Below are 27,958 nucleotides of genomic sequence, written 5' to 3'. Positions count from 1 at the left end.
AAAGCAACTCTCTCTACTGCTCTTTTAAACCTTCTCTGTCAAATTATTCTTATCCGTCCTTGGATGAAATTTTAGGCAGACATGCTAGCTCTTCTGGTCTCAGGCAAAAATTAAGAAGCCCAGTGCCAGCTGGGTGTGATGGCTCACACCTGTAATCCCAGCACTTTGGAAGACCAAGGCAGGTGGATTGCCTGAGCTCAGGAGTTCGAGACCAGCCTGGGCAACATGGCAAAAACTCATCTCTAATTTAAAAAAAATAATTTTTTTAAAAAAGAAAAAAATAATCAATGATAAAAAAGAAGCCTGGTACCATCTTATAGCAAAACATTATATTCTCATTTGATTCAACACTTCTTTTTAGGTCCTCACTCCCCCTCATTCAGTCCACAGGCCTGAATCAACTTGCAAGCCAAAAAAAAAGGGAAAGGCTAGGGTGGATGTGTGCATGTGGCAGAAAAGTGGGTGATATGATTTGGATCTATGTCCCCACCCAAATCTCATGTCGAACTGTAATCCCTAGTGTTGGAGGTGGGGCCTGGTGGGAGGTGATTGGATGGATCATGGGGGCAGGTTCTCATAAATGGTTTATCACCATCCCCCTTGGTGCTATTCTAGTAGTGAGATCTAGTTGTTTAAAAATGTGTGGCATTGCTGTCCCAGTACCCACTTGCTCCTGTTCCTGCCACGTAGACACCTGCTCCCGCTTTGCCTTCTGCCATGAGTAAGAGCTCCCTCAGGCCTCCCCCAGAAGCAGATGCTGCATTGCTTCCTGTACAACCTGTGAAACCATGTGCCAATTAAACCTCTTTTCTTTGAAAATTACCCAGTCTCAGATATTTCTTTATAGCAATGCAAGAACAGACTAATACAGTAGGGGTATTCTTTCTTCCTAGATCCACCTCCTGTATTTTCTAGCTGCTATTTTCAGCTCTTCTACGGTCTAGTCAATGTAGAAGATGGAGTAGAAGACAAGAACATTGTTCTGTGACTGATGCAATAGACTTTCTGAGTTTCCATTTCTGAGGACCTCTTACTTCCAGTTTCCTTTCATAGAAAATGATTCATGCTGACAACTGCTTTCTCTGCCACTTCTCACCCCAACCACATCACCTCAGCTTGAAGCTTCAGATGGCCCACCACCACTCTTTAGAAAGACCATTTTGGTGAAGTCCCTTTTAAGACAACCAGAATCTAACCCTTTTTGATGTAATTCACATGCATCCCATAGGAAACGTGTGTTTGTCCCACAGACCCTTATTTCCAACTTTATTATTCATGGTTCTCCAGAAAAAAAATAGAATGTATATGCCCAGAGGGAGACAGAGAGAGAGAGAGACAGAGATTATTAGGAGTTGACTCGTGCAATTATGGAGCTTGAAAAATTCCAAGATCTGTAGTCAGCAAGCTCGAGAACCAGGAAAGTTTCAGTTCATGTCAAACAGCAGGAAAAAAATTGATGTTCCAGCTCAAAGGCAATTACATAAGAGGAATTCCCTCTTACTCACATGAGGGTCCATCTCTTTGTTCTATTCAGGCCTTCTATTGATTGGGTGGAGCCCACCCATCCATTAGGGAGGGCAATCTGCTTTACTTAGTGTACCAGTTCAAATGTTAAACTCATCCAGAAACATTCTCACAGACACACCCAGAATGTTTGACCAAGTATCTAGGAACTCTGTGGCCCAGTCAAGTTAACGTGGAAAATTAACCATCACACCAAGTCTATTCACCCTGCCACCACATGTCCCTTCACCGAGCCTCCTCCTGTTTAGCCATTTTCAGACATGTGACAGGTTCCTGATTCCTCCTGATTCCAGGAGCACATGCCAGGCTCTTTTACCTTGGTATGTGGGTATTAAAGTGCCCCCCTCCCCTGTAGGGGTACATAAAACACTCCTTACACTCTGGCATCTCACAGGGGACAGATATAAGGTGACTCTATGGAGAATTTAATTTAGCTTCAGATTGATATGAAATCCCAAATCCATGGTAGAATAACCAGAATGTCTGTAGTCAAAATCTAGATCAAGAGAAAGAGAGACCAGCCCCCTCATCTGTTACCCCATTCCCAGAGCCTACCCTCTCAGGTCCCATTTCCTAAGGATCTACCAATTCCCCTAGGAATTGAAACAGAGAATTGCTGGCCAGGCGCAGTGGCTCATGCCTGTAATCTCAGCACTTTGGGAGGCCGAGGTGGGTGGATCACTTGAGATCAGGAGTTCGAGACCAGCCTGGCCAACGTGGTGAAACCACGTATCTACTAAAAATACAAAAATCACTAAGGTGTGGTGGTGCACACTTGTAATCCTAGCTACTCAGGAGGCTGAGGTTACATTAGTTACATTGGTTTGGTTCAGAAAGGTGGGACAACTCAAAGAGGGGGCTTCCAGGCAACAGGTAAATGTAAACATTTTCTGGTTGACAATTGGTTGAGTTTATCTGAAGACCTGGGATCAGTAGAAAGGAAATGTTCAGGTTAAGGTAGAGGATTATGGAGACCAAGTTTTATTGTGCAGAGGAAGCTCTCAGATAGCAGACTTCAGAGAGAGAGCAGGTTGTAAAATGTTTCTTATCGGACCTAAAAGGGTACCTGGCTCTTAGTTGATTATTTCCTGGATCTGGAAAGGAAGGAAAGAAAACAAAGGGGAAAGGGGATTCTCTATAGGATTTGGATTTTCCCCACAAGAGACTTTCCAGGGAAATTTCAAGGAATGGCAAGGAAATATATTTTGGGGTTAAATATTTTGATTTTTTTTCTTGTCTCATAATGTTATGCCAGAATCAGATTCAAAAGTCAGTCACAATATATAGGGTCAAATAAAACTCATCTGATGAGAATTTATGGTTTGCAGGGCATGACTCCCTAGACCCCTTAGATAGGAATTTGGGCAAGGTAAAAAAAATCAGAGCTTAGTCCTCACTAGTATTTTGTTAAAATCTGGAAGAGCAAAGTTGAGACCTTGTGGCTGAAGAGTGAAGCAATTCTCTGTTTCTTTTTTTTAAATTTTATTTTTTGAGAAGGAGTTCCACTCATTACGCCCAGGTTGCAGTGGCACGACCTCTGCTCACTGCAACCTCTGCCTCCCAGGTTCAAGTGATTCTCCTGCCTCAGCCTCCCAAGTAGCTGGGATTACAGGCATGCACCAACATGTCTGGCTAATTTTTGTATTTTTAGTAAAGATGGTGTTTCACCATGTTGGCCAGGCTGGTCTCAAGCTCCTGACCTCAAGTGGTCCACATGTCTCAGCCTCCCAAAGTGCTGGGATTACAGGCATGAGCCACCGTGCCCAGCTCTACTGTCCTTTTTGACAACTTCAGTTTTAAAATATCATGCCTAAAACAAACAAACAATTACCAAGTTTATTTTATTTTCAATGTAAGGCTTATTAGACATGATAGCATATTTCCTGAAACATCAATGAAAATAGGATGTTTAGTTTTTCAGATGTTTTGGCCCAATATAAATACAGCTTTATCCAACAATATCAGACCTGGCCATATTTAACCTACCCAATCTGAGTGTATCCTTAAGAAATATGCTTTTACTAAGTGTATTTTTTATTTGTTTGTTTTCAGTTTTTACTTGTTTATTTATTTTAGAGACAGGTTGTCACTCTGTAGCCCAGGCTGGAATGCAGTGGCACAATCATAAGTCACCGCAGCCTTGATCCTCCTACCTCAGCCTCCTGGGTAGCTGGGACTACAGGCGCAGGCCACCATTCTCAGCTGATTTTTTAAAATTTTTTGTAGAGACAGGGTCTTACTATGTTGTCTAGTCTGATCTTGAGCCCCTGGCTTCAAGAGATCCTCCCACCTCAGCCTCCCAAAGTGCTGGGATTAAGGCATAAGCCACCATGCCTGGCCCCCATACTTCTCAAAAACATGGTCCTTATTGCAATATTTTATACTATGTTTAATTCCCAGTATGTTCTGAGATAGAAGTTAAAACCAGGCTTTGATTCTAAATGAAAAAGTTATTTAAAATGATTTTTTTGCAACTGCAATATAGAATTTTCAAGTTAATTCAGAAATTATTAGTTTTTTCTTATTGAAACTTTCTTACTGTGAAATATATCATACCACCATAAGGGTGTATATATGTGTATGTGCCATTTTAAAAAGAAAAATAAAGAAGAATAATAAAAGAATAGCTATGTACCTATCATCCATCTTAAGACATAGAATATTACCAGTACCTCAGAAGTTTCCTTTATGCCTCTAATTATGTCCCTTTTCCTGCCTACCCCTAGGTAACCATACATTGAAGCTTTCTTAGTCATTCTTTGCTTTTATTGTTTTATAATATATGTGTGTCCTTAAGAAATATGTTATCTAATTTTACTTGATTTGCAATTTATATAAATGCAATCACACATATTTAGGTTTGTGTGATTTGCTTTTTTGTTCAACATTACTGAGATTCATCAACCATTGATATATGAAGCTGTAACATTCACTTTTGCTAGTCTGTAATATTCCATTGCATGAGTAGACCACAATTTAGTTATGCATTCTACTGTTGAAGGACAAATGGTCTATTTACAGTGTTTTGTCTCTTCATGGACAATGCTGCTGTAAACATTTTTATTTACATTTCTTGGTGTCCATGTGCACAAGTTTCTCTGGGGTATAAACCTAGAAGTGGAGAGTTTAATTATCATCTAAATAGATTAGTTTCAGTTAGACAGGAGGAAAAAGTATAAGAGACCTATTGTACATAATGGTGACTACAGTTAGTAACAATCCATTGTGGATTTGAAAACTGCTAAGAGAGTAGATTTTAAGTGTCTCACCACAAAAATGTAAGTATGTGAGCTAATGCCTATGTTAAATAGATTGATTTTGTCATTCCATAATGTATATGTCTATCAATACATCATGTAGTATACCATAAATATATACAGTTTTTACTTGCTAATAGAGACAAAGAAAGAAAGAAGAGAAAGAAGAAAGAAAGAAAGAAAGAAAGAAAGAAAGAAAGAAAGAAAGAAAGAAAGAAAAGAAAGAAAGAAATTGGGAATGATTGTATGTGGTGGAAGGAAGGAAGGAAAGAAGGAAGGAAGGGAGGAAAGAAGGAAGGAAGGAGAAGGAAGGAAGGAAGGAAGGGAGGAAAGGAGTGAGGGAGGGAGGGAGGGAGGAGAGAATATCCATGGGGAAAATAGTTATATTAAAAAATCAGGCTAGGCGTGGTGGCCCACACCTGTAATCCCAGCACTTTGGGAGGCCGAGGCAGATGGATCACCTGAGGTCAGGAGTTTGAACCTAGCCAACATGATGAAACCCCATCTCTACTAAAAAAAATACAAAAATTAGCAGGGCGTGGTGCTGTGCACCTGTAGTCCCAACTATTCAGGAGGCTGAGGCAGGGGAATTCCCTTGAACAGGGAGGCAGAGGCTGCAATGAGCCGAGATCGCTCCAGCCTGGGTGACAGAGTGAGACTTCATCTCAATCAATCAATCAATCAATGAAAAATAAAAATTCAAAGCAATTCCAAACTACCGTATTCACAGAACATGTATTTAAGATGATGATGATTTCCTTGCTGAATAATGATATAATAGGGAGTGCTTATGCTGTGCTTACTGTTTTGGCTTCAAAATATTATTATTATCACCAGCCCCATAAGAAGACATTCCAAGACACTTAAAACAAGTCTCTAGGTTTTTCCACCTAGGAAGCAAAATCTGGAAGGATGGGAAATTCAGTGAAGTGGTTTACCAAGTGATGGTAAATATTCGACAAGTGATATTATAGAAAGAACTGAAATCTCACTACTACCAGGAAGAATATGAGCTGGACAGGTACAAAAAAAGCTTGCCCTCTAAAGTGCCTCTTATAGATTTACAGATGGCTGTGTGATCTTGGGCAAATCAGGTAATCTCATGGGATCTCAGTTTTTATGTCCAAAAAATATGAAGTTCTGATTTGATGACCTCCAGGTCACTTCCCTCTCTAAAATTCCGATTCAGTAATTGCAGAATACTTTTGGAAATGACAGTTTTGCACGCCCCCTAGTGGTTCCCCTTCTGGTCTTGCAACTAGAGAAACCAGCTTAAAATGGTGGTTATTGCCTCAAATCCCTGAGCAAAACATTTTAGGCATTATAATTTTAAAAATAGTAAAAAATTAAGGCTTTTTGTGAAGTTACTACAATTTTTGAAAACACACGTAAATGAAAAATTATTTTTCTCAGATAAGAATTAACATTTCGTCTTAGCAATCGTGTCTTTTAGCTGTACGCTTAAAATTTTTGCATTTACTTTTTCTGTAAATGCAACTCACTTTCAATAAAAAGTGAAGAAAAAAGGTTCAGCGCTTCTGCTCCTAAGATGAAAAAACAAATTTACTGATGCATTACAGTACAACTAAATTAATGTCATTAATCATCATATAAATAGATCAAAGACTAGAGAATTCCTGAGGATTAAACAAAATAACTTACGTAGTACTCAACCCATAGGAGGCTTTCAAAATGGGTTAAATGGGTATGACTATGAATCTGAAAAAGAAAACACTTTTTTTTTCAGTTGGAGTCTGAGGTTTCTAGTAGATTAAAGAGAATGGCATTGATCTACTTTGTAAAATTCTTGGAAACAGACTTAACTACTTTAAGATTGAGTTTCTTTATTTGCAAGGAAGGAATGAAAATTCTTGATGTCTGTTGAAATGCCAGGGACATCATAAAGATTAGTGAGTTGAACGTTGGTAAAGAATATCATGTTCCTTAGAAGAGTAGTGCTATATAAAGACTTGGTTCAGTACCACGCGAAACTGGCTACAAGGGCACTATGAAATGTACTCTATGCCATTTTTAAAATAGAGTATAAAATCATATCAAGACAAATAGCCCTGCTCACAAAATTATAAAGTGTCATTTTTCTTCAAAGAGATGAAAATAAGAAAAATGAAGACTCCTATCACTGAACTTCAACACAAAATTAATATACAAAAGAATCAAGTTCTGAGTCCTGAATGTTTTAGTTCCTTCAGCGTTTTAGTGAATAAATATAAAATAAGTTTAATTACATAAAAATACTTTGACAGACGTTTTCACCTTTTTATTTTCTTTTTTATGGTTGTTGTTTCCTTTTTTTTTTTTTTTGAGATGGAGTTTCATTTTCATTCTTGTTGCCCAGGCTGGAGTGCAATGGTGCGAGCTTGGCTCACTGCAACCTCCGCCTCCCGGGTTCAAGCGATTCTCCTTCTCAGCCTCCCGAGTAGCTGGGATTGCAGGCATGCGCCACCATGCCCGGCTAATTTTTGTATTTTTAGTAGAGACGGGGTTTCTCCACGTTGGTCAGGCTGGTCTCAAACTCCCGACCTCAGGTGATCCACCTGCCTCAGCCTCCCAAGGTGCTGGGATTACAGGAGTGAGCCACCATGCCGGGCCTTTTGTTTCCTTTTCAATAGTAGAGCTACCCTAAGAAATCTTTTTCTGTGGTCTCTTGTCTGTTCATCTGATTTTCCTAGAGACAGCCCAAATGAGTGAAAAACAATGGGCTTCAGCCAGGAATGGTGGCGCTCGCCTGTAATCCCAGCAGTTTGGGAGGCCAAGCCAGGAGATTTGCTTGGGCCCAGGAGTTCAAGACCAGCCTGGGCAACAGAATGAGACCCTGTCTCAACAGCAACAACAAAATTAGCTGAATGTGGTGGCATGTACCTGTAGTCCCAGCTACCTGGGAGGCTGAGGTGGGAGGATCACTGGAGCCCAGGAGATCCAGGCTGCAGTGATCCATGATCATACCACTGCACACTCCAGCCTGGTAAAAAGAGCAAGACTCTGTCTCAAAAAAAAAAAAAAAAAAGAAAGAAACAAAAGAAAAAGAAAGAGTGGGCTTCAAGTTAGAGAAACTAAACTTTAACTCTGGCTCTGCCTCTTAAGTAGGAGTGAGCTTGGGCAAGCCAATTCAGCTCTCTAAGACACGTTCTTTTCTATAAAATGGGAGCTTTTGATAATAGCAGCAGCTCTTCCTCTCCCACAGTGATGATTAAGTGAAAGTGTGTAACTTTTCTTTAGGAACAGTAATTTCCAAATGTTAATGACGGTTTTTCATATCTTTGTTCCTTTTTGTCTATACAAACCTATCAATCTTGACTTTATCAATTATTAAGTCTCGATGATTTTACTCCAAAACTCTCATATCCAGCTCTTCTCTGTAACCCACCTCTGCTGCCGTAGATTCTATAGGAACCATTGTCATTCACCACCACATCACCCCCTCACTCCCTTCCCCCAGCTATTGCTAGGCTCGAATCAAACTACCCTCACATCAGGGTGAAATTTCTCATGGGCAAATGTAACCATGCCTCCCCAGTGCTTGGTATTCATTATGGCTCCCAGTCACCTACAGAATAAAATCTCAAATTTTTCACCATTTGGCCCTGCCTACCTGTTCAGCAAGCTTCATTTTCTGCGGGCTCTTTTTTGCCCTTCACAGACTCATAATTCCAAGATTGTTTTTTTCCTGCCTTTCTGCATTTGCACACTTACTCCTCCCGCCTAGACTGTCCTCCTCCCACTCAGCATCTCTAGTACAATTTTTCTGCAGAATCTTTTCATTCATTGCTAGCAAAATCCTACTTACTCCTCACATCTCAGTTCAAAATGTCCCCTTTTCACATGCTCCTTTCCCACTCTGTTTGCATCTTCTCTATGGTTCTTCATTGTACTTGCTGTGTCCCTGTTAGACCTTTGATACCTAAAGAGGGTTGATCATGTCTTTTTATGTTGCCATCTCCAGCTCCAGCACAATGCCCGCACCTAGTAAACACTTAACAAACACTTAACAATATCTCTTTGTTGCATGAGTAAATATTTTTTAGTATTCTTAACCCCTGGGCTGGTTTCATTTTATCTATCTTATTTTTCTATTTTCACAGGATTTAATCATTTATGTATACCAGTTTAGCATCTTTCTTTTGATATTCGTATAAGTAGTTATAATAACCTTATCTTGGGGCATCATTACTGTATCAAATACATTATTGCTGAAGTCAGGACTTTTGTAATTAAAAGGAACAGATAATCACTTAAGCTAACTCAAGGGAAGGAAGGGCTGCGGCTGTGGGTATTTTTAAGACACTGCAGTGATCCTGTGGTGATCCAAGCACAGGAAGCCTCATGGGAAATGGGGCTGGTACAGAGCAGCTTTTTCATCTCTTGTCATGTTGTGGCATCTTTCTATGCACGTGCTCTAGTGTTTTTCGCTGAGCTCCATCTGTTTTCAATTTCCTGGTAACTTGCCTGTGAATTTTGGCTATCATTCAAGTCCCTGACGTCCTTTCACTCTGCCTCACTATGTCCTCCCTTTTTCTCAAATTTCAGATCCATAAGGGAGAACTCTAATTGACCCAGTTCATCTATTTGGGCCAAGCCACAGTCATTCATTCATTTATCAAATATTTACGGAACACCTAATATGTGCCAAGGACTCATCTCGATGCTGGGGTAAAGACAGTGAAAAAGACAGATAAACATGTCTGCCCTCATGGAGTTTACATTCTATCCACCACAATCAAGTCACTGAACTGGCAGTACGTAGGCCAGACGCTATCTTTTGACATCATCACCCAGGGTGGAAGTGGAGAGGCAGGGTCATGTGGCATAAAACATGGCCACTTGGTCAGCAAAGGTGGGCAGGGCAGATTCCACAAAAGGAGGTGTGGGCAGGCATGGAGGGACTTTGGCACAATTTTAGTTTGAATTTTCTCTATATTATTCAGAATTCCCTTAATTTATTCTCCTTGCTTCCTATATGTCTCATATATGGCTTTAAAAACATTATTTAAATCATACCTTCCTTGATTCATGCAAGGACGTCATGATATCCGAACACATTGTTACATCTTCTAAGTAGGTGTAATCTTGAAAAGTAATTTGAAAGACTTTGCCTTAAGAAAAATCTAAAATTTGAAATGTTTTTCAATGCCTAAAGAGCACATTCCAAGGCAGGATGGTTAACCTTCTACTTTTAATTTAATTGTCTTGGCTCACTTTGCAAGTACCAGATGTTGTTATTCCCATTTATATCTTGTAGTTAGGGAGAAAAAGAAATGACTTTAGAAGCCTTTAATAACAAACCCTAAACTCCATTAAAGTCTATCTTTCTGTGTGAATCTGCGTTTCTAGGATCACTGTGTGCACAGGTGCAGGTCTATATGTCTGTGCACAAGTCAACGTGGCATAGTATTTTCACTGTCTCTTGATATGTCTGTCTTTATTCCTTTGTTCATCTTTTTCTCCTCTACCTCTCCATTTTTTCTCCCTTCTCTTCCCTCAGCCCCCAAGTCTGTTTGTCTCCCTCAACTAACTATGATATAGAATTGAAATCAATGTTTCAGTACTGGTGCCACCACTTCACTGGTTTGCAATGATAGATAAGTACCCCAAGACTAAATTACCATTTGGTAGTATGCCCAAAATTCAGTTAGCTGCCAACAGGTGAGAAGTAATGACTCAGCCATAGGCCCAAATGGCAAGGCTTCTTACGGGACTAGCTCCCACCAAAAATATACCCTTTCACTTACAACTCCATAAGTTACTGAAATGCATAAATGCATTATGTGAAATTCATAATGATGGTGCTCACGTATTTTTTATTAGAAAATGGTCACAATGTATGACAGTATCAAGAAAATCTAACACCCTTCTACAGTCAAGAACTTTTCTCATTAGACTTAACTATAATCAAATACTCTCCTCAATAATCCTCTATTTCAACTAGCCCAGGGTTACTCAGGCCTACACAGATTAAATTTGCCATAAATCTCTTCAAATCAAAAGTCTACAAGGGTCCTGGCTCCAGGACTATGGGACTTTGGACCAATTTATCATAAATAAACTCTTGTTGGTAGTTTTCACTCTGCTTTTATTTTTATTTTAATTTTATGTAAGTATTCATTTATTTATTTGAGATGAAGTCTTGCTCTTTCACCCAGGCTGGAGTACAGTGGTGCGATCTCGGCTCACTGCAACGTCCGCCTCCCGGGTTCAAGCGATTCTCCTCCCTCAGCCTCCCGAATAGCTGGGAGTACAGGTGCCTGCCACCATGCCTGGCTAATTTTTGTATTTTTAGTAGAGATGGCGTTTCACCATATTGGCGAGGCTGGTCTCGAACTCCTGACCTTGTTTGCTGCCGGCCTCAGCCTCCCAAAGTGCTGGGATTACAGGCGTGAGCCACCCCGCCCGGCCTCGTTATTTATTTTTTATTTTATTTATTTATTTATTTATTTTGAGATGGAGTTTCACTCTTGTTGCCCAGGATGGAGTGCAATGGCCCAATTTCGGCTCACGGCAACCTCCACCTCCCGGGTTCAAGCAATTCTCCTGTCTCAGCCTCCTGAGTAACTGGGATTACAGGCATGTGCCACCATGCCCGGCTAAGTTTTATATTTTCAGTAGAGACGGGGTTTCTCCATGTTGGTCAAGCTCGTCCCCAGCTCCTGACCTCAGGTGATCCACCCACCTCGGCCTCCCAAAGTGCTGGGATTACAGGTGTGAGCTACCCTGCCCGGCCTATTTATTTATTTTTAAAGATAGAGTCTCATTCTGTTGCCCAAGCTAGAGTGCAGTGGCGAGATCTTGGCTCACTGCTTCCACCTCCAGAGTTCAAGCTATTCTCCTGCCTCAGCCTCCCAAGTAGCTAAGACTACAGGCGCCTACCACCACGCCTGGCTAATTTTTGTAATTTTAGTAAAGACATGGTTTCACCATGTTGCCCAAGCTGGTCTCAAACTCCTGACCTCAGGTCTCCTGACCTCCTGCCTCGGTCTCCCAAAGTGCTGGGATTACAGGCATGAGCCACTGCACCCGGCCTAATTTTTTTAATCTTTGAGACATGGTCTTGCTTTGTCGCCCAGGCTGGGGTGTGTTGGAACAATCGCAGCTCACTATAGCCTCGATCTTCTGGGCTCAAGCAATACTCCTGCCTCAGCCTCCCAAGTAGCTGGGACCACAAGTGTGTCCCACCATACCTGGTAAATTTTTCTTTTTCTGTAGAAATGGGGTTTCACCATGTTGCCAAGGCTGATCTCAAACTCCTGGCCTCCAGTGATCCACCCACCTCGGCCTCCCCAAGTGCAGGAGGATACAGGCATAAGCCACTGCACCTGACCACTCTGCCTTTTTAAATTTTTATTTATTTTTTTTTTGAGACAGTCTCTCTCTGTTGCTCAGGCTGGAGTGCAGTGGTGCAATCTCAGCTCACTGTAACCTCTGCCTCCCAGGTTCAAATGATTCTCGTGCCTCAGCCTCCCGAGTAGCTGGGATTACAGGCGTGAACTACCATGCCTGGATAATTTTTGTATTTTCAGTAGAGACAGGGTTTTGCCATGTTGGTCAGGCTGGTTTTGAACTCCTGGCCTTAAGCAATCCACCCGCCTCAGCTTCCCAAAGTGCTGGGATTATGGGTGTGAGCCACAGCACTCGGCCTACTCTGCTTTTAAACTCCAAGTGGATCTATAACGGTTTGCTTACAAATTGTAGAAAGCCAGCATTCATTACGTTCTCTAACTCTCCCTGTTCCTTCTGACCTCATCTCTTTGATCTTATAGCAAAAGTGTATGGCAGCAAGAACAGGGACAGAGGAGACAATGTTTTAGCATGATCTAGACTTGAATAAAAATCCTAGGATGATCCTTTTTCAGTCAAAAGGCAATTCTACAACTGTTGACTAACTTCATCTGATTCCTTCCACACTAGTAATTGAATGTATACCTACACTTGCTGTGTATATATTATTGACTCATTTCAAACAACTTTAATAACATTATAACACCTTTTAAAAAAACTTGCTTCTTAGTGTGACACAATCTTGAAGTGATATTAGACATTACCCTCTTGTTCTAAAATATTTCTGTAACACGTTAAACTAACAAGAGTTTTTTTTTTTTTTTTTTTGAGACGGAGTTTTGCTCTCGTTGCCCAGGCTGCAGTGCAATGGCACGATCTTGGCTCACCGCAACCTCTGCCTCCTCGGTTCAAGCGATTCTCCTGCCTCAGCCTCCCTAGTAGCTGGGATTACAGGCATGTGCCACCACGCCCGGCTAATTTTGTATTTTTAGTAGAGACGGGGGTTTCTCCATGTTGGTCAGACTGGTCTCGAACTCCCGACCTCAGGTGAACCACCCACCTCGGCCTCCCAAAGTGCTGGGATTACAGGCATGAGCCACCATGCCCGGCCAACTAATGACAGTTTTAAAACAATTTGTTCAATTTTTCAACAAACATTTATTGAGTCCCCACTTGTGATAGGCACTAAGCGTATACCTGAGTACAACAGATAAGAATCTTGATCTCATGGAGCTTACATTCTAGTGAAGATGGAGAAGACATAACAAAATAACTAACAAGTATGCAGTATGCAAAAAGATGAAGTGCTATAGAGAAAAAAAATGAGAAAAGGCAGATAGGAAGTTGGAATTGCAGTACAAAATAAGATGATCAGATAGGCTGAGTCTTTTGAGATAGTTGTGTATTTTCTATTCTTGATTTCAAAAGCAGAGAAATGTCCATTTATAATCCTCCTAGTATAAAAAGGTAACTTACTATTTTTAATTGCTCTTGAACTTAAATGCTCTTATTAAGTATCTTTGTGTTGGATCTTCTGCCAGAAAATAAATAAATAAATAATACATAAATAAATAAACTAAACCAGAGCTTAGGTTTTGCTGGTTGTCTGCAGCTGCTTCAATTTATCAACTTAGCAACATTCTACTTTCTGAATTGACTGGCAATTTTGGGCATCAGAAGACATGTACCTAAGAGTTGATAATTCCAGAGAAAGAGAGTACTCTAGATTGTCTGAGACCAAAAAACTCTGGTGAAGCTGTCTGATTTTAGTCATGTCAAGTTAATGCAGAAAATTCTTGTATTTCATGTTGTCCATTTCACATACAACAGATAACAACACTAACCTACTATAACTGTAGTTTAAATTGCTTTCAAGCATATGAGAATGGGTTTAGGTTCTCTATTTCTGTTGCTTTCCTGCCTTTTTTTGTGTACCTTCCTTTTTTTTTTTCCTCTCACCTTGAAAAAACCTCTACTGAGTACCTACTTACCAGCCAAGTAGATATGGGACATCACTTCAGCTTCTATTAAACCAAATCAGTGGTGCTTAACCCTGGCTGTGCACTGGAATCATCTTTTAAAATTACTCATGTCTGGGCCCTGATTCCAGTTAAACCAGAATTTCCAGGGGTGGGACCCAGGCATGAGTACTTATTCATTTATTTACTTATTTTGCAATCAATCATGTTTTCATTTTCTTCTTTCTTTTTCCCTTCCTGTACACCTTCTTTCTCTCTTTTGTCTTTCATTCGTTCACATATGCCTCATATATATTTATAATTTTAAAGATATGCCATTATACTCCACATTATGATTTTTTAAAAATTCCAATTACATAAAAGATTCCAATGCACAGTTTAGGCCAACAATCCCCGAACTTAGCCTACAGGCCCTCAGCAGCCTCCCACCCAGCACCACTGAGGGTGTCCTCAGGAAATCAATCAGTACTTTGTTACCTCTGTGGGGACTTCAGCTTTCACCTCATTCTCTTATTCTTTCAACTCCTTTCCTCCCTCTCCTTTACTTCTTACCCTTCTTGTCTGCTTCTGCCTGAGGCCTGCTGACAGTACCTGCTAACACTGTTTAGCCCTATTGGTGGCCAGCATTAGGTTAGGTTTTCAGCCCCTGTTGCAAAACAGATCTAGTTACCTGGAGATTGCTCACTCATCACTTCTGCGGCTGCTTCTGTGGTTCTCTGGGGCCTCTCCACACCTGCCAGGCTGGCTGCTCTTCATGGCTGGTGCTGCCATGGGCCAACCCCAGGATGGCATGCTTTGACCCTCAGAATTCCCGTCTAAGAAGTGCTATCAGAGCATGTGTGTATGCTCTCACTGCGGCAGGTAAGGCATTTAATCATCATCTGGCCCTTTTCCTCTTTGCCATCTCACTTCCCACTATCACCACCACAGTACTCCCCGGCTGCCATAAACACACGTCACCTTATGTGTGCTATTATGTTTCCCTAGATAAAACCTTTCCTGAATCTGGAAAACTGCATATTCATTCTGCAGAATCCTAACTCAGCTGTTACTCCCCTAAGAAGCCTTCTCCAATCTCCTTGATCACAGTGTTGTTCACATTGTATCCTGCTGGCTTGTGTGTTTATGTTCCTGGCTCCTCCCTAGGCTCAAGGCAGAGGCTGGCTCTTTATTCTAAATGTCTTTAAATAGATAACAGCTTTTCAGTAAACGTTGAATGGAGGAAAATGTGAATAGACCCAAGGAACGTACATGGCAAACTACAGTTAGCTTGTAGACCACATCTGGCCCATCGCTTGTTTTGGTATCTAGAGTTTTATTGAAATACAGCTACACACATTTGTTTATGTATTCTGTGGTTGCTTTAGTGCTACAAGGCCAGAGACGAACAGTTGCAACAGAGACCGTGTGGCCCACAAAAGGCAAAAATATTTACTCTCCAGCCCTTTCCTGAAAAAGTTTGCTGACCTCTGATCTAAAAGAAACCTGAGAAGTCTCCTACAGTAACATATCCAGTAGAAAGATAATACAAGCCATCCAGTTAATTTTAAATTTGCTTGTAGCCACATTAAAAAAGAAAAAAAACTGGTAAAAATTATTTTAGTAATATGTTTTATTTAATCCAAAATATCCAAACATTATCATTTCAACATGCAATTAATATAAAAATTGTTTTGTAGTGAGATATTTTACATTCTTGGTGTGGTACTAAGTCTTTGAAATCCAGTGGGTATTTTACACTTACAGAACATGTTAATTTTGACTAGTTTCACTGTAAGTGCTCCATAGTTACATGTGTGGCTAGTGACTATCTTACTGGGCACTTCTAGATCAAATCCATCAGGTTATAGTTGAAGAAATTGGTCCAGAGAGAGTAAAAGTTTAATCTAATGTCACATTTAGTAGCAAAATTGGGCATTAAACCTGGCTGTCTTCATTCCTAGCAAAGTGCTCCACTGTCACATCATACTAACTTTGGCCTTATTGTTTGTTCACTAGAAGAGATATGATAAGAAGATCTAGTTCCTAATTCCGTACAAGCATTAATAAGTTGTGTGATTTTAGGATATTTCTTAGCTTCTCAGGATTTTCATTTCCTCATCTGTAAAATAAGAGCACTCAACTCACTAAAACTTAAAGGTTTTAAAATTTGAATGGTATATGACAAATCAAACATGTTTGGTTTACAAACCAGAACACACTGCAGTTATTTTGCCTGAGAATTCTTTTCCTAAGAAGCTGTGTGCAAATATGAATTCATGGCTATGTTGACTGTCAGCATAACTTGAGGAATGCTCTCAGAGGCCAGATTTCTGATGGACAATCCATTCACATCGACATTTTAGTAATAAGGACCAAGAGATTTGGAAATGATCCAAGAAGGTCTTCACTGAGGAGTGAAAGAGCAAAGAAGGGACTGGTGTTAGGGCCCATATGGGACAGTGGAATGGCTTCCTCTCTCTGCTAAGCAGCACCAGTGTCTGTCACAGGCAACAGGGCCAGTGAAAGGAAATGAAGCTGGCATATCTTAAGAAATTAGAGGATAGAAAACTGTGACAAAGATTAGATAATCAGATTTGATTATCTATTTATTTATTTATTTATTTGAGACAGGGTCTCACTCTGTTGTCCGGGCGGGAGTGCAATGGCACGATTTTGGCTCACTGCAGTCTCAATTTCCTGGGCTCAGGAGATCTTCCCACCTCAGCCTCCTGAGTGGCCGGGACCACCAGGCATGTGCCAGCACGCCCAGCTAATTTTTTTTGTATTTTTTATAGAGATAGGGTTTTGCCATGTTGCCCAGGTTGGTCTCAAACTCCTGGGCTCAAGCAATCCGCCCGTCTAGGCCTCCCGAAATGCTGGGATTAGCCACTGTGCACAGCTTTTGTTTTGTAAATAGTAAATATTGTAACAGAATCAATGGCTTTATTAAATTTGTACTCAAACCACAGAAGAAATGTAACAATGTAGGAGAAAGACACACCGAAATGGAGAAATGGAGGTGGGCAGGCACCAAAAACAAATGTGCTTTTTAAAAAAAGTTTGCCTAAGATTCATTGTGTTCACTTTAAAACCCATTTACACCTTTCCCCTTCCTCTTAACAGAAACATTGCTTTCCTTCAGGGACTGGAGAAGATTGCAGTATAAGGCAAAAGTATGGGCTTTGGAGTTAGACAGACTTGAATATGAACCCTAGATCCTCCTGTAAAAATTATATGGCCTTGGCACAAGTTCGTGCCTCCGTTTCCTCCTCTGTAACATGTGCATAATAATAGTACTTACCTCACAGGATAGAAGATTAAATGATTAAATGAGGCAGTATATGAAAAGTTCTTAGTACAGTGGGTATCACATAGTAAGTTCTAAATTAACCTTAGCTATTAGTCTCATTCTGAAAATAGGTTTCAAGAGGCAGGAGAAAAACTGCCAGTGTGCTATATCCACAGCTGGCTATAGGTGAATCAGAACCGGTCCATCATGTTTATGGAAATGGTGGTATAAATTAAATTGTGTACATGTAAATTAGTGCAACTCTAGAGCATTCCAAGGGAATCTGACTGTGCCACTGACTCCTCTGTTATAAATGCCTCCAGATAGTGACTGGGCAGCTGGACATGAAGGTAAGGAGTCTCCCAGGGAATTCTGCCAGACATCTTGCTTTTGTTACCTGATAGGTACGTTCTTCAGAATTCTAAAACGGAATTTTGTTTCTTTATGGCAGTATTTCATGTCTATAAGCGTGTGCATTGCTAACTGACTTCAGAATGGTTTTGTTACCTTTCATCTTTCTGGAAAAAAATGACACAACAGTTTAAGTGACTTCAAGTTTACATCTTGTGTAGGAGAATTTGCCTTCCAGTACCGAATGACTTTATAAAACAAAACTTGTGCATTTGTGCAGCCAGCAGAGGTGGGTTCCGTCCCAGCCGACTCATCTACCACGCTTCCTGCAAGATGGATTCAACTCAGCATATTTGCAATCACTGGCCAAAGACCAAGGAGACAGCCCTGGGGATTTCTTCCTGGGACACTTCTCAAGGAAAACTCAGTTCCTTAGATAGAACAGCAGATTTATTTTGAACCAACTGTCAGCTATAATTGAACTAGGAGACTACCCTTTTTCCTGTAATTTAGAGTATTTAAAAGAAATACACAATAATAACTACATCCAACACTTACGTAGCACTTACTGGCCACCACTATTCTGACTATTTTACTTTTATTAACTCATTTAATCTTAACAACCCTATGAAGCCCATACTGCTATTATCGTCATTCTCATTTAACAGATAAGGAAACTGAAGGACAATGATGTTAAATAACTTGTCCAAGACTACACAGCAAGTAAGAAGCAGAGCCTGAGATCGAGCCTAGGCAGTCTGGCTCCAGTTTGTGCCTTTATTTCCCTGTGCCACCATCTACAAGTTAAGAAGTGCCTTTTTAATTTTTGGCCAATGTTTTTGATGGGACTGCAAGTATGTAGAATTTAATGACTATTTTATTTAATAAAATTATGTATAATACTTGACTTTGATACTAAGTCAATTTGTACTTTTTCAGGACTTCTAAGTTGTTAGTTCTTTGATAAAATGATTATAGGATTACAATACATTTTATTTTGTGAATAAAGAATGAGAAACAGGCTGGGCACAGTAACTCATGTGTATAATCCTAGCACTTTGGGAGGCCAAGACTAATGGATTGCTTTGAGCTCAAGAGTTTGAGACCAGCCTGGGCAACGTGGCAAAACTTCATCTCTACAGAAAATACAAAATTAGCCGGGTGTGGTGGCACGTGGCTGTGGTCCCAGCTACTTGGTAGGCTGAGGCTGGAGAATTGCTTGAACCCAGGAGGTGGAGGTTGCGTTGAACCGAGATCACGCCACTGCGCTCCAGCCTGGGTGACAGACCAAAACCCTGTCTCAAAAAAAAAAAAAAAAAAAGAATGAGAAAGATGAGAAGGTGCACTCCTGCTTCCTCTCATCTTCATGTGAAATTCACAGTCATCCCTCAAAACCAGTGTATACACATCACCTCTCATGTGAGGCCTTCAGTTGTAGAGTTAATTACTTCTGCTACTGTTACAGCTTATATACATATCTATAATTATACTAATCACACTGCATTGTAATTATTTGTGTATCTCATTTATGACCTATGCTTGACAGGAAAGCCTGAAGATAGGATCTATGTTTTATTCATGTGTGCATTTGTGTAATAAAGTCAACAAATTTTAATTGAACTGTATTTGAGGAAAAATCCTTATATTTAAATGGATTTCTTTTTTTTTTTCTTTTTTTTTTTTTTGAGATGGCATCTCACTCTGTTGCCCAGGCTGGAGTGTCAGTGGCGTGATCTCGGCTCATTGCAACCTCCACCTCCCGGGTTCAAGCAATTCTCCTGCCTCAGCCTCCAGAGTAGCTGAGATTACAGGTGCCCACCACCATGCCCGGCTAATTTTGTATATTTGGTAGAGACGGGGTTTCACCATGTTGGCCAGGCTGGTCTCAAACTCCTGACCGCAGGTGATCTGACTGCCTCAGCCTCCCAAAGTGATGGGGTTACTAAATGGATTTCTTTTATTTGAAGTGTTTTTATTCAGCTGATCATGCAGATTTAACATGAGAGAAATTTCTGGAAGTATATGATCACTGATGGCTACTCATAAAATTTTTCTTATTTGAAATACTGTGCGTGCAAAACTATGGAATAACTTAGCTGTATTCATACTAAAGAACTGTAGCCTTTACAACATGAAATATTTACAATCCATTCTTCTAACATTAATAACTCTACCATTTAGCTGGGCGCAGTGGCTCACGCCTGTAATCCCAGCACTTTGGGCGGCTGAGGCGGGCAGATCACGAGGTCAGGAGTTGGAGACCAGCCTGACCAACATCGTGAAACCCCGTCTCTACTAAAATACAAAAATTACCCAGGCGTAGTGGTGCGCGCCTGTAATCCCAGCTACTCAAGAGGCTGAGGCACGAGAATCACTTGAACCTGGGAGGCGGAGGTTGCAGTGAGCCAAGATTGCGCCACTGCGCTCCAGCCTGGGTGACGGAGCGAGACTGTGTCTCAAAAAACAAAACAAACAAAAAAATTCTACCATTTATTCTAAAATTACATTTATTTACCATTTATTCTTAAATCTTATTGAGTCTAAGTTTTAAAGAGTTATGTGGAGCAGACGCAGTGGCTCATGCCTACAACCCAGCACTTTGGGAGGCTGATACAGGCATATCTCTTGAGCCCAGAAACTCGAGACCAGCCTGGGCAACATAGCGAAACCCCTTCTCTACAAAAAACACAAAAAGTAGCCAGGTATGGTGGCATGCACCTGTAGTCCCAGCTACTCAGGAGGCTGAGGCAGGAGGATTCCTTGAGCCCAGAAAGAGGAGGTTGTATTGAGCCATGATCTCACCACTGCATTCCAGCCCGGGCAACAGAGGAATACTCCATCTCAAAAAATAAAAATAAAAATTAATGAGCAAATACACATCAGATTTTAGTGGAACAAGCAGCACAGCGCTGCAGCTCAATTATACACATAGAAACAAATACATTTATGTAACAGCTTATATTTCACCACTTAAGCACTGCTTTTTATAAGAATGAAAGTAAAGTAATACATTGCATAATCTTTGATTAAAATTAGTTGAAAACCAATATGGTTCTAACATGCTGTAATTCACCTAGCAGCTGATATTAACAATGAATTTTTTTAAATCCCAAATTTATGTAATTTCTGCTACTAAGCATATTTACATGGCCTGAATTAAAACAGAACTTAAGCTTATGCTACTTCTAACTGGCTTCCTGAGTTTAATATAAGAGCTCTTTTCAATTAAAAATTTTTTGGATCAAGATTTATAATTTATTTTGCCATTCTAAGATAATACAGTTTCATACATTTAAATTATAAACATGTTGGTGTTCACAATGTTTTTAATATAAGCATTATGAATCTTGGAACTCAGATTCCCTAGGGGGCTTTTAGGAACTTGTAGTAAATATTTAATAGAGGATATGAGCTTTCTTTTTTATTTTAATCTTTATTTTTCCAGAAGGGGATATTATTTAATCTATCCATATTTACTCTATATTCCTGTAAGATAACGCCACTAGGGATGTAGTGGACTTATGGAATCTAACGTCCGAATTCTCAAAGGCTCGTTATATTTTGAATGTTTGCCTTAAATGGGATATTGCAGAGTCTGTTGAACAAACAGAAGCAATTAGTCAAAGGATGTCGAAAGAACAATGTTTTTTTCCTTTTCTTTATTTCTTTCTTTCTTTTTTTTTTTTTTTATTTTTTTGAAACAGGGTCTTGCTCTATCACCCAGCCTGGAGTACAGTGGCACAATCTCGGCTTACTACAACGTCTACCACCCGGTTTCAAGTAATTCTCCAGCCTCAGCCTATCAAGTACCTGGGGCTACATGCATGTGCCACCACACCTGGCTAATTTTTTGTATATTTAGTAGAGACAGGGTTTCACCATGTTGCCCAGGCTGGTCTCGAACTTCTGAGCTCAAGTGATCCACTAGCCTTGGCCTCCCAAAGTGCTAGGATTACAGGTGTGAGCTACCACACCTAGCCTACAATTTTTTTTCTTATGCTACGTTTACAACTAATTGTAAAGATTTCTAAGAATTAATCTAGAAGCAAACTGGTTTTGCAAATTAAGTATTGGAGAATTTTTTTCTTCATGTACAATCTTTGAGATGTAAAAAGAAGCTATTATTTTCATGGAGTCATCTTGTCTAAAAAAAGTTTGTGTTGTTTTTAAATGTGTGGTTTGCTCTATTTTAAAACAATAATAATGGGAAATTTTATTTTATTTATTTTTATTTTTATTTTTTATTATTTATTTTGAGACCAAGTTTCACGCTTGTTGTCCAAGCTGGAGTGCAATGGTGTGATCTTGGCTCACCGCAACCTCCACCTCCCGGGTTCAAGCGATTCTCCTGCCTCAGCCTCTCAAGTAGCTGGGATTACAGGCATGTGCCACCACACCTGGCTAATTTTGTATTTTTAGTAGAGATGGGCTTTCTCCATTTTGGTCAGGCTGGTCTTGAACTCCCAATCTCAGGTGATCCACCTGCCACAGCCTCCCAAAGTGCTGGGATAATAGGCATGAGCCACTGCGCCCGGTCTTGTTTTATTTTTTGAGATGGTCTTATTTTATTTTTTGAGATGGAGTCTCACTCTGTCGCCCAGGCTGGAGTGCAGTGGTACTATATCGGCTCACTGCAGCCTCCGCCTCCCAGGTTCAAGCAATTCTCCTGCCTCAGCCTCCCGAGTAGCTGGGATTACAGGCGCACATCACCATGCCTGGCTAAATTTTGTATTTTTTGTTTTTTTGAGATGGAGTCTCATTCTGTAGCCCAGGCTGGAGTGCAGTGGCGCAAACTCGGCTCACTGCAAGCTCTGCCTCCCGGGTTCACACCATTCTCCTGCCTCAGCCTTCCAAATAGCTGGGATTATAGGCGCCCGCCACCATGCCCAGCTAATTTTTTTTTTTTTTTTTTTTTTTTTTTTTTTTTTGTATTTTTAGTGGAGACGGAGTTTCACCATGTTAGCCAGGATGGTCTCGATCTCCTGACCTGTGATCCACCCGCCTCGGCCTCCCAAAGTGCTGGGATTACAGGCGTGATAAATTTTGTATTTTTAGTAGAGACGGGGTTTCACCATGTTGGCCAGGCTGTTCTCAAACTCCTGAACTCAAGTGATCCACCTGCCTTGGCCTCCCAAAGTGCTGGGATTTCAGGCTTGAGCCACTGCACCCAGCCAATAATAGGGAATTTTTAAAGTCACCCGTAATCTCACCATCCTAACAAAATAAAATTTCATTATTTTATGTTTCTGCATCAGATTCGTTTTGCATGTTGCTAGACAGTCTATAGCATTACAATTTTAATAAACTCATAGTTCCTCTCTCTTTCTCCCTCTCTCTCTCTCTCTCTCTATATATATATATATATATATATTCAGTCATCAATCAGGCATTTTTATCAAGTATGTAAATGGACGAACACAGGAAAACAAGGGAAGGCAATCATTTGTCTTTGAAATGGCTGAATCTTTTAATATCTCCCTTTGCAGACAATCCACACTCTTCATGCTTTGCTTCTGACAGGAAATAACAAAGCTAGCCTTGGTCATTACCAGTACTACCTTTCGTGCAAGTCCAAGTTGACCTTGTTCAACCTACATTCTAGCCATTTTAGTTGATTTCTCTCTGGGGCTTAGAGTACATCAACAAACATGTGGACCTTTGACTTGTTGGTCATGAACGAAAGCTAAACATCTTACAAAGGTATAAAACTCATCTTTGTTTCAGCTTATGTTAGCAGGAAGAGTTGTTTCAGCCCCATGGAGACTCTGAACAGTATTTTGAACTTATTGCCTGGTGCTTCAGAGCAATGGGATCAATATTTGGAGGCATTTTTTCAAATCTTACAATTCCACATCAACCTCAGCAAGTCGAACTAAACTTTATTTGGCCTTAACAATTCAAATCTTCAATATTTCTTTCCAGAGTTTTGCAAGTCAATCATATTTGCTCTTCAATGTGTTTAGGTTTTGTTTGAAGCATGGGTCTTTCATCGTTTGTAATCTTGACTTTTTATGCTCATGAAAGTAACGTAAGCTCATTATAAAAAGTTAAAACATTACAGAAATATTGTAGAAAGTTAAACTTTTGTGATGTGGCGAGCCGTTGTTAATAGAGAAATAGCAGATATTCGTCAATAATGTTTTCCTTATTATTAGCACATATTCCTAAATAGACTTTTTAAATTTCTTGACCATTATATAGCTCTTAGAAACATACTCATCATACATTAAATATTGTTTTGCACATCGTGTTTATCATCTTGTATCTCTTGGCTCTCTTTCCATGTAAGTACTTATAAATTCTACTTCACTCTTTTCATTAGTCACATAGTATTCATGTATATATATACATACATATATATATATATACACACATACATATATATATATATATATACACATACATATATATATATATATATATATAATAAATCCATAATGATGGACATTTGAGTTGTTTCCAGATTGGTTTTATTTGTTTCTTTGTGTTGTTTTGTCATACCAATGCTGCCGTGAATATCCTTTTAAATATACCTGTATATATGTGGAACACAGTATTTTAAAGCTTTAAAAAGGAAAGTAATGAACTCATACTGTTTAATGTATTTAATTCTTGTTAGCAGTTCATCTTACCAGCCTACCAAACGTGTAATAAATATTCCAAAAATTTTGTTCAATATCTTTAGTTCTCGAAGATAACTGCAGTTTTCTAGAATTTAAGAATATTGTCCTACAAATGACCTTCCAACATGTTCTTTTATGACTCACTGAATGATAGGAATAATGATTCCTTGACCATTATATAGCTCTTCAGTTTACAAAGCACCTTCAGATAATTATCTCATCTGACTCTCACATCAATGTGATGTATGCAGGACAGGTTTATAGGAAAAAAATGGTGCTGAGTTGGAAATTTTTACTGCCTAAAATAGTTACATAAAGTCCTTTGTTCTGCTAACTCAAAGGGTCAAGTCCACTGTCATGATGGGATTGTGGTATCATATTGGTACCTTAATGTGAAAAAAACACTTCTACATCACTTCAATAACTGATGTTGCTAAATTACTATTCAGTTTTCAAGCATTTTATTTAATTCTCTGATATCTAGAGATTAGGCTCAGCAGGCATTTTTCAGATAAGTGCTCCAGTAATTGCTACTCCAAAACCAAGTATTTAAAAGACATTTATGCAGTAGTTGTTAAAGGTTGGTGAGTTTCAGTATCACTTTTTCTTGTTTAGAATTGGAAGAACAGAGGGTAAAGGTTGAGGGGGGGAAAAGTCCACAGAAATGTAGCACCAACAGGACAGTTCCTGCTAAGACCTTGGAAATTCCTATCCTCACCCATTATTATTTCTGTATCCCTATGATCCTTCCTTTAAACAGTGCCTATAATGATTGGGCACATAATAAATGGTGATGCTTCTCTCATTTCCCACACTCCTGGTAGGAAGCAGCTCCTATACAGGAAGAGAAAATCATTGTCCTGTTGCCTCCCACTTTGAGAAAGGAAGCAATCTTGAATGACACTATTGTTTCCATAGCTACAAATTTACTTTGTCTCATTAGTAAATCTATCTATACCCTCAGTTTAGCTGAGAATGCACTTCTGAATTTCCTCTCTTCCTCCATCTACTGTAACATGTACAGGAACTCAAAATCAGTTCCCAGATCTGAAATCTTAGGAGACTGTATAAGTCCATTTTCTGTTGTTTACAAGAGAATATCTGAAACTGAGTAATTTATAAAGAAAAAGAATTTGTTTCTTACAGTTACGGAAGCTAAGCAGTCCAAAGTTGAGGGGCCACATCTGGTGAGAGCCTTCTTATTGGTAGGGACTCTCTGCAGAGTCCCAAGGAGGCACAGAGCATCGCATGGTGAGGAGTTTGAGTGTGCTAACTCAGGTCTCTTTTCCTCTTCTTATAAAGCCACCTGTCCCACACCCTGGATAACCCATTAATCCATTCATGAGAGCAGAGCCCTCAGGACACAATCACCTCTTAAAGGCCTCTCAACACTGCCACACTGGGGATTAAGTTTCAACATGAGTTTTGGAGACGACACATTTTAAAACCATAGCAGAGATCCAGTCCTCTTCAAGCTCTGCTTGAATATGATAGCAATTTCTAACTAACCATCATCCTACAGAGTGGCTACATTAATATTTTAAAATGAGTTATATTACTTACAGAGAAATCACATTGCTAGTACTTTGAAATTCTGATGCTCTGTTTTTTTCCATCAGTAGAATTATGGGAAGTTGATCTGCCCTTATCCCATCTGTCCAACATTACTTTGTATTGCTCAAGTTGTTCTTGCCTGTCAAGTCTTCACTGTATGGTCTCTTGACTGTCCTGTGTGTAATACCTAGCTCATTCTCACCTCTCTGCCTTTCCTTATATTGTTGCTGTCCTTCAAATCCTTCTGTCTGACCTACCTGAATTCTAATCAAGTTTTGAGAGCAAACCCCCGAGTCACACCACATAAAGCCTTCCTTCCTATGACAGAGAGCCCCACTGTTGTCGGTACACAGGCAGAGATAACTCAACACCTTTCTGCACATTCTGATGTCTTTCCATTCCCAACTTATATCAAATTTGTACTCTTGAAACCAAGCTTTTAAAACAGTAACATGTTTATTGGGTTGCAATAATCATATTAGACACCAGAGTGTAGCATATGCCTTGCCCATTCTCACAACCCTAGGGCCTTCTCTCTGACCCAAAATGGGGAGATACACTGACTAACAAGCTTGGGTTTTAATACATATCTCTGGGCCTATCAAAATACTCCCATTGAAAATAAGAGTCATCAGTTGATCAGTTTCTTACTCATGTAGTGTATGGGAATGGTAGATAGTTCCAGATTGATCAATGGCAAATGCCCTGCTCTTCTTGTTTGACAAACAAATTCTCCTTCTGTACACAAGAATGACCTATTGGCCCTCATGATATTTATATAGCACGTACCTTTGGACACATTTCAGTGACTCAGGGTATTTCGAGCATAAATATCCCATAATTGGTTGAAATTTCTCTCATACTTTTTTTTTTTTTGTAGAGACAGGAGTCTTGCTATGTTGCCCAGGCTGGTCTCAAACTCCTGGCCTCAAGCTATCCTCCTGCCATGGCTTCCCAAAGGGCTGGGATTGTAGGCGTGAGCTGCCATGCCCAACTTTCACTAATACTTTCTAGTTCACAATAATATATTTCATAAGTCTGATAAATTAAAAAATTCCAATTCAGATAATTTTAAAATGCAGGCACTCCAGCCTGGGCAAAAGAGTGAGACCTTGTCTCAAAAAGAAAACAAAAGAAAAGAAAAGCTTAAAATCTCCCAAATTGGCTCCTCTGACTTGTTCTTCTGTTTCCTTCGACTTCTGTTCTTCTTTCCTTTAAAAAAAAATAAATACACTGCTGGGCGTGGTGGCTCATGACTGTAATCCTAGCACTTTGGGAGGCCGAGGCAGGAGGATCACTTGAGGTTAGGAGTTCAAAACCAGCTTGGCCGTCATGGTAAAACCCTGTCTCTACTAAAAATACAGAAAATTAGCTGGGCATGGAAAGCGAGCATTTCCTATGATAATTTTATCTCCTTTCACCTGGCTAGTCCTATGAGCTACCTAATTTAAGATTTAAAGTCCTATGTTACATGTTAATAGTTTAATGTGTTGATTGTGGACTTCCTAACTAGATTGTAAACTTCTCAAGGGCAAGAACATCACACAAATGACTTTTTTTGTTAAGGCTAGTCAAGTGAAGCAATGGAAGTAGAGAAGGAACAAAGAAATCTGCCACTGGTTGTGATCAATTTGTTGTAGACACCACTGCACTTGGGCTAGCCTCGAATGACTCTTGTACCTGTCATAGCTCTTAGTATACCCTTAAGCACATCAAGATGCTCAATATGTACTCATTGATTGAAGTCAATGTCATCTTTGGGATGAGGTGCTTAAATTCCAATTCAATGAGTTTTAGGTAAGTGATAGTGAATCAGCTGGGGTCCTGGGGAAGAAACAAAATTCATCCTAGATGGTTCAAATGAAGAGACTTTAATGAAAAGACTACTCAAAAATATATAAGCAAGGTTAAGAAGAGACAAAATACGGTGAGATACTCAGGGACCAGCTTCAGAGGGAAAACCGTTTCCCCCCTGGGCCTGTAGAAACAAAGAATATAGAGTAGTTAGCAGGGCCCAGTAGAAGCCGGAGCTGGGGAAGAAGGCCAGTGTGGCTGGGGAGTGATGCAGGAGTGATGAAGCTGCTGTAAGAGATGGTGTGCCAAAGTGGG

General features: G+C 39.9%; 2 long non-coding RNA genes across 4 annotated transcripts in view, besides 1 other annotated feature; one reads left to right on the top strand and one right to left on the bottom strand.

Annotated features, from left to right (window-relative positions):
* LOC105379047 (uncharacterized) overlaps nt 1–14,792 on the bottom strand; it is a 31,751-nt gene extending 16,959 nt beyond the window's left edge. The window contains exon 1 of one of the 3 annotated variants that reach the window (XR_948497.3): nt 14,721–14,792. This is a non-coding gene — a long non-coding RNA (uncharacterized LOC105379047). Of the gene's footprint in view, nt 1–14,062; nt 14,230–14,527; nt 14,687–14,720 lie in introns of those variants that run through there. The other 2 variants (XR_948498.3, XR_948499.3) reach the window with 2 other exon arrangements.
* Nucleotides 624–1,143: an enhancer, noted in NCBI's record as "active region_22726". NCBI's record gives its function as "activates an Ori minimal core promoter by ATAC-STARR-seq in GM12878 lymphoblastoid cells {active_cell/tissue: GM12878}" and the evidence as "EXISTENCE:reporter gene assay evidence [ECO:0000049][PMID:35858748]".
* On the top strand, nt 14,730–18,579 carry LOC124901013 (uncharacterized). The gene is made up of 2 exons (XR_007058839.1): nt 14,730–14,911; nt 17,953–18,579. It is a non-coding gene; the product is annotated as an uncharacterized LOC124901013 (long non-coding RNA).
* The last annotated feature ends 9,379 nt before the right edge of the window (nt 18,580–27,958 follow it).

The sequence above is a fragment of the Homo sapiens genome, chromosome 5 (assembly GCF_000001405.40).
Source record: "Homo sapiens chromosome 5, GRCh38.p14 Primary Assembly".
NCBI lineage: Eukaryota > Metazoa > Chordata > Mammalia > Primates > Hominidae > Homo > Homo sapiens.
The sequence above is the reverse complement of the archived record's forward strand: the minus strand, read 5'-3'. Positions and strand labels throughout refer to the sequence as shown.